Below are 14,113 nucleotides of genomic sequence, written 5' to 3' on the forward strand. Positions count from 1 at the left end.
TATGTGAACCAGAGCAACTCCATCTTGAATGGGAGCTGGGTAAAATGAGGCTGAGACCTACTGGGCTGCATTCCTAGATGTTTAACGCATTCTAAGTCACAGGATGAGATAAGAGGTTGGCATAAGATACAGGTCATAAATACCTTGCTGATAAAACAGGTTGTAATAAAGAAGCTGACCCAAACCAAACAGGTTGTAATAAAGAAGCTGACAAAAGTGACCTCTAGTCGTCCTCACTGCTACACTCCCACCAGTGCCATGGCAGTTTGCAAATGCCATGGAAATGTTAGGAAGTTACCCTTATGGTCTAAAAAGGGAAGGCATGAATAATCCACCTCTTGTTCATCATATCATCAAGAAATAACCATAAAAATGGGCAACCAGCAGCCCTTGGAGCTGCTCTGTCTGTGGAGGAGGCATTCTTTATTCCTTTACTTTCTTAATAAACTTGCTTTCACTTTATTCTATGGATTCACCCTGAATTCTTTCTTGCGTGAGATCCAAGAACCCTCTCTTGGGGTCTGGATCAGAACTCCTTTTGGGTAACATCTAGATGACCTCACAGGGGGTGGCATCAGTGTGCTCCCTGCCACCTCTGCTGGACATTAACAGCTAGGACTTACAGAGACTTGAAGCTCCCATTTATTCAGTGTTTTCTACACATTTCTCTACACCAGTCCAGGCCTTGCTTTAATTGTATTAGAAAACATAAAATTGAAAGCAAAACTCCTAAATTTTCGTTTTGCAAAAGAAAATTATTTAAGCTCAAATAATTCCCCATTTGGCATTTAGTTTTGAGATCCTCTAGCCTTTGTTATTATTTATTTATTTTTGTCCCAATGCAGCTGAAATATTTCTCCTTCTCTATCTCTGGGGCCTGTTTAACCAGGTGAAGAGTCCACACAAAGCTACAAAAATCAGTTGAAAATAAAAAAAAATTAGTGGAGAATTAGTTTTCCTTGTCTATCTGATAAATGTCCCTAGACTTGTTTGAGTGGCTTTGCATCAAACAGCAATTAGCATGAAAGGACAGCATGACTGGGTGGTTTGGCTTCCTGCAGACGCAGCTTTGCTCACAAGAGCTTACTGATCCTTGTCACCACCCTCCTCTGGGGCAGGGCCAGGCCAGCTTGTCACGTGGGACTGGTGACATCTTCTCACTTGGCTTTTCCAGTGGAGTCTCTAGAAACAAATATTTTAGAACTTTCATCCGGACTAGGCAGGATTAAGTGAGAATCTCTTTAGCATCTGCCTTTGTTAGAATTAGGTTCATCTGTCTGAAAGCAAGGCCTCAAATAAAAGTGGCTTGAAAATGACCCAAGTTTATTTCTGTCTCATGTGCCCAGGGTTGGTGGGATGGCTCTGCTCCATAGGTCCTGAGGGGCTGCTCTACCTCCTTAGCACAGCTTCTTATAGCACCAGAGGTCCAGCCATCACGTCTGCATTCCAGTCAGCAGGAAGAAAGGAGAGCAAAGAAGGGAATGTCCCTTCCCTTACAGTATGCTTTCTGGAAGTTGTATACCACTTCTACCTTCAGCCTTTGGCTAGGACTTAGTCTCAAGGACACACTTAGCTGGAAGCAATACTGCAAAATGCAGTGTTGTTATTCCACGTGGACCTGTGCCCAGGTATAAACTGGGGCCTCTACTGCAAAGGAAGCAGAACAGAATTGACATTGGGTGGGGCGGGCAGAGGGGGGTTACTGTCTAGACTCTGCCAGAGTCCAAGGGCACTCTGTCCCAAGAGTCAAGGGACCTTTTCCTAATTTCAATTCTGCAAATGATTTGTCAGCCCGGTTGAGGAGCAGGCTAGGACAGCATGCACAGATGCCGTCTTGCTCAACTTAACCCTTCTTCATTTGTGCATTTTCATTTAATACACTTGGATTTGGTACAGAGAAGGGGAATAGGGTTCTAGACACTGAAGGAAATGAAATCCCCACATGGCTCAGAGCGTGGGGATTTTGCTACTTGAAATACCATTGTACCCTCTCCACTTTCAAATGAAGATCCTGACATTGTTTTCCAGAACAATTGCACCGTCCAGACTCAGGGACCCACAAAAGTGTCAATTCACCGCATGTTGGCTTTTTTTTTTTTTTTTTTTTAAACTAATTGTAACAAGTGGTTGCTGTGAAACGCAGGCTTCCGAAGGCTGCCCTTCCAGTGACCCATACCCTGACCTGGACAGACCACCTTCTGTCCAAAAGAGGAAAAGTTTTGTTCTTAGATCAGATGAAACCCTGGCTTACCCCTGGTGACCAGCGGGATTAATCAGACACCAGTAAAACAGCTGACAGAAACACTGAACCAACTCACAATAACCAGCACACACATCAGGCAGCATTCCTCTGCGGGGTCTTACCTCATCCCTTTCTTTTGCCCTGAGATGCAATCCCTGCTTCCTGAGGCCGTGTTCTCTGTGCTTCTTAAAGGGAGCCACTTGCAAGCTAAGAAGCTGCCCATTTTTAGGATCAATATGGTATTCCCCCAAGTTGGTTAGAAAACACAATGGCAGGGACAGAATTTGCAGCAGGGGTTTGTAGAGGATTAGGGCTGCTTCGCCAGGATTTATCGCCCCATGCACAACCCAGACTGAAACCCTGGTCGCAGTCTGGGTGGTTTAGAATGAGCCAACAGGCATTGCCATCAGTTTTAGGCCTTTGAAAAGTAAAATCTTCCCAACGTGCAAAAAGTAACCACTAAAAATGGACCATAACCAGATGCAAAGAAAGAATGAAAGATTGTGAAAGGAAAAAAAAATTCTGAAACTGTATTTGGAAGGTTCCTGCAGAAGGGGTCCTTCTGAAAGTATGCAGCAGGCTTCATAGCTTGCCCAACAGTCATGTACATTTCAGAATGTAACTTTCCAAAGCAAGTTGCTTCTTTGCTTTACTACCTGCAGAGAGCCACCTGCTTCATTTAATCGTGCTTTGGGTTCTGTTTTATTTTTACTGTATCCCATTTTCCAGGGCAAAAAGCAGAAAGCAAATAAAACCACATTTTTGCTACTAACTTAATATGAAATCTATTTTAATTCAGAATGATTTCCCTCCACTTTTATTTTAAAACATGTTTAAGAAGAAAAGCAAGCTTAGAGGATTTCTGGTCCTAAATACAGCGATTTCAAGGATTGTTATCAAAACCCTGAAGGGCAGTGTTAAAGAATGGGATAACCTTGAAATATAGGATGGCTAAGAAGTGAGAGCAAAATATCACTCACTAGTGGCTATTTGTAACCAGAGTTATGCCAGGGAAGGGAGAAAGCAGTGAGAGCCGGCAATATTTGAGACGGAAAGAGATGACAGAGAAAGGTATCTTTAGCGAGGAAAGCATTTAGTGACTTTAAATCAGATGCCAAAAGAATATTTACTGGGGGAAAAATCAATTTTTCTGTGCTGTGGAGGAAGCATTTCAAAGTAAGACAACCTTTATTTCCAAATGCCTTCTGGAGGCCCTCCCCGGAGGACACAACACCAACGCTATTAATCTTGACTTAGTGAATGAACGTATTATACGGATTTCAATCCAGATCTTCAAGTCTTAAAGAGTTCTGAAGAGCCCAGATAAAGCAACCCGTTTTTCCTTTGGTGATTCCTCAGGGGTAACTCACTTTAATTCCCCTTTCATCTCTATGGGAGGACTCGGAACTTTAAAAGCAAACAGGTTTCCTATACTAATTCCTGGAGAGAAGGCTTCTGTTGCTTTCTTGCTGCTGCGAGACTGAAGGTGGGTGACCATCTTCATTTGTTACCTTGGAAGATGTGGAGAACCAGAAGTAAGTTTGAAATAATAGGCCAACGGTAGCTGTCTCCTTTCTTCGAGGAAAGTTATTGCCCTTCCAAATGCCAGTTTGTTTTTTGATTTTCCACGGTCCAGCCCCGTATTTAACACAGAAAGATGCTTTAGAAGCCAGAACACTGATAATAACCCCAAATATACACAAAGACAAAGCAGAGGGCATGCCTGTTTTGTCCCGTCAGACAAATTATGATCTAAATTTTCTGCCAACACCACTTTTTTTCCCCTGATTGTTTATGGCAACAGCAGCCTGTTTATTGAGATTCTAAACTGCAATGAAATTTTCTGGGATTGAAAAAAAGAGAATAAGAGAGTTAGAGAGAGAGAGAAGGCTTATTATGTAGAAGTAAACTGTTTCAAATGGAAACCTGACTCCCATTGTGGAAAGGGAAAGCATTGAGGAAAATTACGCCAGATTATCTAGGCTAAAGGAAAAATTTTATGCCTCACTGTGCCACTTGCAAGGAACAGGAGAGGAAAGAAAACACAGAAACTGTGTGGCAACAAATGACTAAATTGGGACGCAGAGATAGCAGCCTTGCTAGGTTCAGTCCAACTTGTACAAGAATGGTAACAACCTAAGGCAGAGATATACCAACAATTATCTGTTACCCAGGGATTATATTAATAAAACAGCCAGGGAGGGAAATGGCTCCATTTAACTAACTTTTTTTTTTTTTTTTTTTTTTGGGGGGGAGTTGGAGTCTTGTTCTGTTGCCCAGGCTGGAGTGCAGTGGCGCAATCTCGGCTCACTGCAACCTCTGCCTCCTGGGTTGAAGCAATTCTCCTGCCTCAGCCTCCCGGGTAGCTGGGATTACAGGCACCCGCCACTGCACCCGGCTAATTTTTGTATTTTTAGCAGAGATGGGGTTTCACTATCTTGTCCAGGCTGGTCTGGAACTCCTGACCTCATGATCCAACCATCTTGGCCTCCCAAAGTGCTGGGATTACAAGGGTGAGCCAACGCACCCAGCTACTACATTTTGACATAAAGTCCGAAGACGGGACACAGGTCAGCACTTTTCATCCTAAAGGGTTATCAAAAGACATCAACTTGTATAAAAACTGGTGTGAAAATCGAGTGATGTTTTAGTTGATGTCATATGTTTTGTTCTCTCATGTGTCCAGATCCCGGAATAGGCTGAGAAAAATAGAACCTGGAGTGTAAAAAGAAAAAAGAAACATGTTAGTGGATATAGGACATTTTGCAGCTCTCAATTTGATCTGTTCCACAGTCGTCACACAGGATGAGAAGATTGTAGGAATGTGGAAAAAATTAGAATAACCTTGCATTTCGAGTTATGGAAAAGAAACTTTTAAGCTTTTAACATTTCTGTGAGAACAACATGAACCTGACAGCTAAATCACTGAAATATTGATCACATTACAAATAAAAATTCAAACAAATTCGTTTCAATTGAAAGAGGAAAAACATTGATACTACTACTGCTCATTGGTATGGTGATATGCAAATGTGGACTCCAATAAAGGAATTTGTCTAATTTTTGGACCACAATTATGTGAGGGAATATCAAAATGTTTATAATTTGCAACAACACAAGGATGTAGATTTTGTCTGATTTTGTTAATCTCTGAAAGGCTTATTTTTGATGTGAATTAATTGGATAGTCTAATATGCTCCCTTTCAGCCCACCATAAATATCTGTGAATTAAATTATGTAAACAGTTTCCTCAAAAGCAGAAGCATTGCTAACTCCCTTCCCCCGCATTAAATAGTTCTATATGAGTTGACAGAAGGAGTTGGCTGTGTGACCTTTCGCAATGAACGGGGAACATAGCCCCCTCTGGCCTGAATCTGAGAGAAGCCCCTTCCCAAAGCCCTTATGAGATGATATACCAGAAAACAACACATCTGACCAAGAAGTCTCTGAAGTTGCAGCCTTTTGTATTTACACTTTTGAGCTATCTCCATTGTGATGCAAATCTCGATTTTCAATCAAAATTGGCTAGAAAAAAAAATCTTTCTCTGGAAACCGTTGTAGGAAGCACGTAAGCCTAAATCTTAAATTTTCTCTGTTCTGACTTCCTATTAAGCCACAAAACAAATGTTATCAAACACATACACCTTTTGCAACTGCGGATTGAAAACTCAACCGTGTCAACTAGCATTTTTAACTAACTATAGTTTTAGTCTTAAAGGGTGCTGAGTTTATGCGTTATAAATGAACACCCCCCTCCCTTTTTTTTTCTCTCTAATTTGGGTGCTCACGTCAAAAGCATCTAAAAGCATTTTAACTTTTGTCGACTGTCCCAATTCAAGTTTGTTTGAGAGAGTCCTCCCTTCTTAGCTTGGATCCTTTATATAAGTCCAGATGAATAAAATAAAATGAAATGCAAAAGGAAGGCATCATTAATGGCTTGAAGGCGTCCCACTTTTATTTTCTTGTATTTTAAGAGCTGAAGTTGGAAATATGGAATCCTCCCAAGCCGCTCAGAAAGTTTGAAGACACAGGGGGCAGGGACCCAGACTTATGGAAGTCTCCGCCTCAGGCTGAAGGTTTGTGGGCGTCTGTGTGTGCGTGCGTCTGTCTTTTACTGTACCCTTCAAGATCGAGTTCTGAAGGAGCATTTCTCCTGCCAAAATACACACACAGCCTGGGATTAAAAGGGCTGAAACCTACCAGCAAGTTCTTAACGCCCTCCCACAATCATTAGACCAAATCCACCATCATTCCAGATTCATTTTTCCCTTATTCATCTGTCCAACTAATTCCTGCCACATTCACCAGGCTTATATCTTAATCTTTTCTGTTACATAGAGAATACATAATGAAAAGCTGCATTTTCTGGGTACATGCACACATTTGGAGCGGATGAACCATATGTGAAGCGACATACAATGCTGAATGCCGGCTGAATGGCGTCCAGCGCTAAAAACACCGCGAGCGCAGGAACAAAAAGCCGGCGAACAAGAGCCAGCGCCAGGCTTGCCTCTGCTGGAACACCAGGGGCTTCGCCGCGAAAACATGGGTATAATTTCACTGTTTTCACTCACACAAGCTGTGGGAAAGGAGTCACCATCTGATGTTTGATTGTGTGGGATATGTTTTTGGCAGTGGCCTTGTATTCCTCATTGACAAAAAAAAAGAAAAGAAAGAAAGAAACAAGAGAAAAGGGGCAGAGATGGAGGGGGGAGGAAAATAAAAAAGAATAGAGCTACATTTGCTGTTTTCAATTTGCAGTCTGGGGGACAGGCACAGCTGACAGTTCTGACCAGTGGCCACCTGAAAATCAGGGCCAGGGCCTGGGGACTGTCCCCTCTGCCTCCATCCCCTGGGCCTCCCTTTATGCCGAGGGACCAGGAGGGGACTTTTCTCCATCCTCCCCCGTCGGCTGGTTAACTTACGACTGAGCTGTGGGGCTGACGTTTGCCTGATTTAATAAAGCCTTTTATCCAAGGTAGCGGCTGGGAAGGCAGGGTCCTGACAGCCCAGAGGGGGAAAGGGCCCAAGGCTCACAAGCAGACACTTTCCGGAGCCGGTGAGGAAAAGAGTGAAGCTTCAAAAAAACTCCCTGGCAATGCGTCTGGGGCTGAAGCCAGGTGGTTTCTCCCGTGGTTTCTGGCTGGAGACTGGCAGGGGTGTTAGGTTTACACCCTGGGTCTCTGCCCCAACCGAAGGTTCTAGAAAGAGATATGCTGCTCTTTGTCACCATCTTTTCCTCACTCAGGAATGCCAGATTTAGCAAGTAAACATACAGGATGCCCAGCTACATTTGGATTTCAGAACAACAAGTACTAAGCCGTGATGTGCTGTTTCCCCAAAAGCCAATTTTCACTGAGTGTCTTGCACGTTATCTGACAATGCTACTCCCACGCCACCAGGCTTCCTGGTCCAGCCACCCACCTCCCCTCACCTGTGGCGGGTGGGCAGGGGGGCGGTGATCAACAGCCTCCTCTGCCTGCATCTCAGGATGTTAAGAGGATAATGAGAGAATAGATGGGTAGCTGCTTTCCAGAAAGGTCATTAATTAGCCCTGCTGGTTAGCATGTGGTTCCAGTGCCCCAGCTGTGCTAAAGGCCTTCCTCTTAGCATCCAGTTCAAACCAGGAGACATGACCAATGAGACTAGAGAGAGTTTGGTGTCATTTCCTCCTGGTGCCCAGAGCCCCTTCTCTGATGGGTTTCACATAATTTTGTTTCGACCCTCTTTTAGAATCAAACCAGGCTGGGTGCAGTGACTCACCCCTATAATCCCAGTACTTTGGGAGGCCAAGACAGGAGGATTGCTCGAGGCCAGCAGTTCAAGACCAGCCTGGGCAACATAGTGAAACCCCATCTCTACAAAAAACTTAAAAATTATCTGGGTGTGATGGTGCATGCCTGTAGTCCCAACTACTTGGGAGGCTGAAGTGGGAGGGCTGCTTGAGCCCAAAAGTTCAAGGTTATAGTGAGCCATGATTGTGCCACTGTACTACTCCAGCATGGGTGACAGAATGAGACCTGTCTCCAAAAAGATAACAATAAATTGAAATAAAACTCCCCAGTTCAGCACCTCTTGCTTTTACTAGAGGCAAATATAGTGTTTAATGGAAGATGTGGGGAGAAAGCCACATCCTTTCTAATCAAGTGCTCCTACTCCCGGGGATATTGGATTGCTACCTTTGAGTACAGTGCTTGCTAAGAAGCTGGTAACACCTAGTTGGCCTCCAGGATTTGTCTTGAGGTGGGCACCTTGCCTTGAGTTCCCCATTTGTAGGCCTGTGAAGCATATCTGGTTAAAGGCAGAGAGAAAGAAAAGGTTTCCCTTTGTGAGTAGCAGGCAAGTGACCAGGACAAATCGCATTGGCAGCCAGAGCCAGGGTCTGTGCTGTCATTTATCCTCCAGGTGGGGAGGTGGGATCAGGCACCGGCTTTAAAAGGAGGTGGTGTTCTGCACCAACCGGGTCCAAGCCCTAAAGAGAAGATGTCAAAGGAGCACTGCTCTTTTGAATATTCCCTTCACTGGAAGACAGTCGTGGCTGCATATATTGGCCGGGACTAGAAGTGTGGTTTTCCCCATGTGGCGGAATTGCTTTCATTTTCAAACATGGGCCAGGGGCATAATGGCCGCTTGTAATGATCACATTAGCATCATGGAGCAATATATCTACAATAAATTAAGACTGCTTTGCAATTAGTACCGATGATCACAGCTGCGGAGACAAATGGCATATGTGCTAATTAAATAATTTGTCACTTCACTGTTAAACAAACAATTCAGCCTCTTTATATTACAAACTGCCATCTCCAGAACATCACCATGGGCCATTAACCCCGTGGAAGGAACAGCTTGCCATGCCCACAATTGGTGGGGAGCGATGTTTGAATGGCAGGAAAAAGGTGATGGGGAAAAATCCACTTGGATGACAAGTCCCCTCAGACTTTGAAAATTTTCTTGGAAAATGAGTTCCAGGAGGACAAAACAAACTCTGCCACTCCACTCAGAAAACATTTGGAAGATAGCCCACTCCAGTGTTAAGATTTCTGAGCTCTATTCGATGTGCCCTTATTGAAGTGAACCATCAAACTGGTTGCAACCAATAAAAACTCCATCACGTCAAATCTCAACTTCATCTGGTGACTTCAGCGAAAGTCCCTCCTCCCCATTTGTACAGTTTTTCTTTTGTACAGATTTTGTACATACCTTTGTACAGTTTTTCTTTTCTTTCTTTAAGTTTTAGCATTTCCTACCCCAAATGCTAATCCATAAAGCTGAATTGTGAACTAGGGTTTAATGGGGGCCAGCCATTGCTAGCCTATATAATGGCTTTGTGTGAACTAAGAGGACTCAGCTCTGTGCAGGGCACCAGTCTTGGTAAGCAAGGTGCAGGCTGGATTTGCGTCCCTGCTCACCGCCTTGGTCCAGGGCCCTTGTGCAGTGAACAACCTGTCCAACCACACAGGCAGCTCTGACTCACTTGCCTCTGAAACCAGGAGAGACCTGGGTAATTTAAAGCCACAGAACACTAGCAAGTCATGTGTCATTATTATCCTTTATTCCTTGCTCTTTTATCAGAGTTGTTAACTAATGGAACTTGATTTCTCCTTCTTATTCCTGCGCTCGCTCCCATACAAGAGGCAGAATGGTCAGACAGAGAGAGAAAGGCAAGGCAGTGAGGACTTCTTGTCATTGGCCCTTCAGCAAATCCCTCATCAGGCACCGCCTTTGTAAGGAGCATGTGACACGGGTGGTGTTGAGTAGAAGGCATTTGTGATGTAACAGGTGTTTGGTGTAAAATACTCAGGCAGTGTTAAGTTCCACCAAAGTCATTCTACTGCAGTAAATTTCTACCAGGCAGGAAACAGCTAGAAACAAGGTTGAGTGTTCAGTCTTCCTTCCTGCAGGAAAGGTGATTCCCTGGATAATTTCACATTAGGCTTTAAGAGCTCCTTTCCTGTGGCATTGTGGGGGTGGAAAAAGAAAAGCCAGTCTTTTATCTTTATGGAAATCTCACTGTTCGGATACAAAAGTCTGTAATAGAGGTGAGTTCCTCAGCAAATTGGTGCGTTACTCACCAAAAAGCCATTCTGTCTCTTTTTTAAAGTGAAATCTGAGTTTATCCCAGAAAGACTGGGGCATGGAGCAGCTTAGCTCACATCACTTAGGATAAAGGTGGGCACACTCTTAAGTGAGACAGAGTCTCACTCTGTCACCCAGGCTGGAGTGCGGTGGTGCAATAATGGCTCACTGCAGCTTCGAACTCCTTGGCTCAAGTGATCCTCCCACCTCAGCTTCTGGAGTAGCTGGGACCACAGGCATGCACCAGCATACCCAGCTAATTTTTTATTTTTTGGTAGAGACAAGGTCTCACTATGTTGCCCAAGCTGGTCTCAAACTCCTGGGCTCAAGCATTCCTCCCACCTCAGCCTCCCAAAGTGTTGGGATTACAGGTTTGAGCCACTGTGCCCAGCCTTGCTATTATTATCATAACTGAATTTTATAGCATGGAGTGTCTTCAGCAGCACTTGTTAATATTGTCTGTTAGGTGTGTGCAGAGTGAGGAAAGGAGATTGCCTAAGAGTAATGTTTCTAAAAGAACTTTTCTGACATGTATTTGTACATGAGGAAATGCAGAGAGTGCAGGGTGAGTTTAGAGGCACTGAAAGCACTGCCAGGACATAAGATGTTTTTCCTACGGCTCTACAAGATGCATTATTATCTGGCCTGTTTCGGAAAAGACAGGCTGTTTTCTAGCAGCCTCCTGTCTTCTGGTACTTCAGAGAGTGGATTTCCATGTGTCCAAAGGCTGAGATGCGAGTCAGGAACCACCCAGACCAGCCAACTGTCCTACCAGTGGGCATAGAATCCTTAGGCTGCAAGACAACCTAGATGCCAGCTCATCTAAGCCTCTTATTTCACCAGAAGAAGGAATGGGAGGAGAGAGAGACAACAATGACCCTAAATCATCCTGTTCTTTTCCTTCTCTGGTGGCGGTGGGAGGGGAGGGGTTCCTCCCACCTTCCCTCTATTTTCTGATCTAAGCTGAGGAAATCCAAATGGTATTCTTTTATCCCAATATTAACTGGGACTCAGAGACTCCCCAAGCCACTTACTTAATTTGTGGTGTAAAATATTTTTGTTATAGAATTGTTCCGCCTCTTAAAGGAGATCCGTGGGGAAAGACCTGGCTGGACAGCCTTTTACATAGCCCCAGTGAAAACAATGCAGGAATCTGAAAAGGTCATTAGGAAAATAAAAACTTAAAGTCCTGAAAAGCTTTCTGACAATTGTCCAAGGCCATGCAGTCCTGAGGACACAGAGGACACCAGCCATCCCTCAGCCACGACCCACGAGCCAACCCAATCAGACCACATCTTGTCTTTCAGGAAAATGCACTGAATTTTGTACCATGCCCCCAAAAGCCTGGATCAAATTAAGAGTTTTAATACTCAAAGTCATTTATATTGTGTCTCTAAAGCATATACAATAAATGTACGCATCACTCAGGATATATTAAAATGTTTTGCCATACATTTCTAAAATCTTAACAAATATCATGAACACTTTAAAATACTACTTTTATTTTGATCAAAATGCATTCCATCATTTGAAAATCAAGTAGTAATTGGATAGATTCTAATAAATAAACACAGTTCTCTGCTCAGCTTCTTCTGACATCTTTCATACCCTTGAAACAACACATTTCAACTCTGTAATTTAATTTTTTTTCTGGAATTTCCTTTCATATTTCTAGATGATATGTTTCTAGATTTCCTGAATTGTATTTTCCAATACCATTATTAAAAGTGTTTTTTAAATTAAGCTATTCTATTTTAATTTTCAATAATTTTGGTTCTCTGATCCATTTTGATATCCTCCTCTTCTTGTTTCATGAGCTAATCTCTTGCTATTTTTGAAAAGGCCATAGTTTTTAAAAATACGTTTGCTTGTTGAAACGTTTACTGAGTTGTCTCTGTCTCTTCTGGGTTCATTTTTGTTTGGTTGGTTTTGTCTTTATCTTTCTTCTTGGAGCTTACTTCAAATGTGATTTTGGCAGTCAGTTCATAAGAGGGAGGTACTGGGTAGCTAATTCTATCTGGGCATGGAGCTTCACTCTAGAGAGATCAATGGGAAAGCAGTGGTGAAAGCTTACCAGCAGAGTATCACAACCTGATACAGCTACATAATTATTATTTTACTGTGTGTCTCCTCCTGGTCTTGTATGTGTAAGTTCCATTAATGCAAAGTTTGTTCATTTTGTTCACTGCTCCAGTCTCAGTGACTAGAACAGTGTCTGGCACATAATAAATGCTTAAAAAACACTTAGATGAACAAAGAACTGTGGGAGAAAAATGCTATACAGAGCACAAAGTGAGTGGGAGACTAAGAGTAAGGAAAGTTAATTTTGCCTTGGAGCAATGGGGAAGTTTTTTTTCACTGCATTGACTAGGAGCATTCCTATAATGCCAAGACACTGCCTAGGAGTCTTCCGTGCATTCTTTCATTCATGCAGCCAACAACATCCATTGAGCACCTACGGTGTGCTGTGAAGCAGTGTAGCATGGTGGTGAAGGACATGGGAATTGATTAAGGAACCTGAAGTCTAGCCCTGGCTGTGTGTCTTTGGGCAAGTTATTTACCTCTCTGAGCCTCAGTTCCCTTAATTCTATATGAATAATTATCAGAGTGTCTGCTTATAGGGTTGCCTTAAGGATTAAATGAATTGCTGTATGTAAAGAGTTCAAATATTATGCTAGGCTATGTTAGGCTATGGAGACACCTGTGTTAGGCTATGGAGACACCTGTGTTAGGCTATGGAGACACTGAGATGGCTAGAAATGATCTTTTCCATCCCCCAACAAGAAGACTTCATAGTCGAGTAGGCTGCCTTTCTCGTTCTTGTACACTATCCCTCGAAATTTTTTAAAAAATCAGAAAGTGCACCGGGCACGGTGGCTCACGCTTGTAATCCCAGCATTTTGGGAGGCTAAGGTGGAAGGATCACCTGAGGTTAGGAGTTCGAGACCAGCCTGGCCAATGTGGTAAAACCCCATCTCTACTAAAAATGCAAAAATTAGCTGGGCATGGGGGTGGGCGCCTGTAATCCCAGCTACTCAGGAGGCTGAGGTAGGAGAATTGCTTGAATCTGGGAGATAGAGTTTGCAGTGAGCCGAGGTCATGCCACTGCACTCCAGCCTGGGCAACAGAGCGAGACTCCATCTCAAAAAATAAAGAAACCTAGAAAGTGCAAAGTATGTCCATAGGCAATCAAAATGATGCTTGAATTTGGGGTGGGGGAAGGGGCAAGATCTCATGTCAAACTGGATTACTATCACCTCGACAGGCACAGGACTGGCAGAGTTAAAGGAAAATAACAAGTCAACAGCCTCTTCCCCAGGGGCTCAGTAATGTCCCCAGCCTTTGGCTCTGGTGTGCTTTGTGCAAAGGGCTAAAAATAGCAGAGGCGTGCTCAGGATTAAGATGGCCTTTCAATCACAAGTCAGGGAAGTAGTGATTTTCCTTAGACAAACCCTGTTGCTACTGGTGGGGGTGGGGATGGAGGTCGGGAGACATACGACTTTCTCATACATTTGATTAAAACTTTGGCAAAGTTAAGAATCTTCATAGTCTCTAAATCTCCATTTGCACCCACCCTGACCTTTCTTAAGTATAGTTTCATTGATTTTTTAAGGCTATCTTTGAAGCTAGAATGCTGAATAACTCTAAAACTTAACAAAAAGTCCACTCTTTTGGTTGCCTGTTTGTGTGATAATACATCCTCTTAAAAAACACAGCCCATTTTAATTTGCATCCATCCACCCTTCACCTCACCATCTATAGCACCATAAATACATTCATCAAAGAAGGCAG

General features: G+C 43.3%; 1 long non-coding RNA gene across 1 annotated transcript; it reads left to right on the forward strand.

Annotated features, from left to right (window-relative positions):
* The first annotated feature begins 10,082 nt into the window (after positions 1-10,082).
* Positions 10,083-11,761, forward strand: LINC01690 (long intergenic non-protein coding RNA 1690). The gene is made up of 2 exons (NR_135522.1): positions 10,083-10,284; positions 11,388-11,761. It is a non-coding gene; the product is annotated as a long intergenic non-protein coding RNA 1690 (long non-coding RNA).
* The last annotated feature ends 2,352 nt before the right edge of the window (positions 11,762-14,113 follow it).

The sequence above is a fragment of the Homo sapiens genome, chromosome 21 (assembly GCF_000001405.40).
Source record: "Homo sapiens chromosome 21, GRCh38.p14 Primary Assembly".
Classification (NCBI taxonomy): domain Eukaryota; kingdom Metazoa; phylum Chordata; class Mammalia; order Primates; family Hominidae; genus Homo; species Homo sapiens.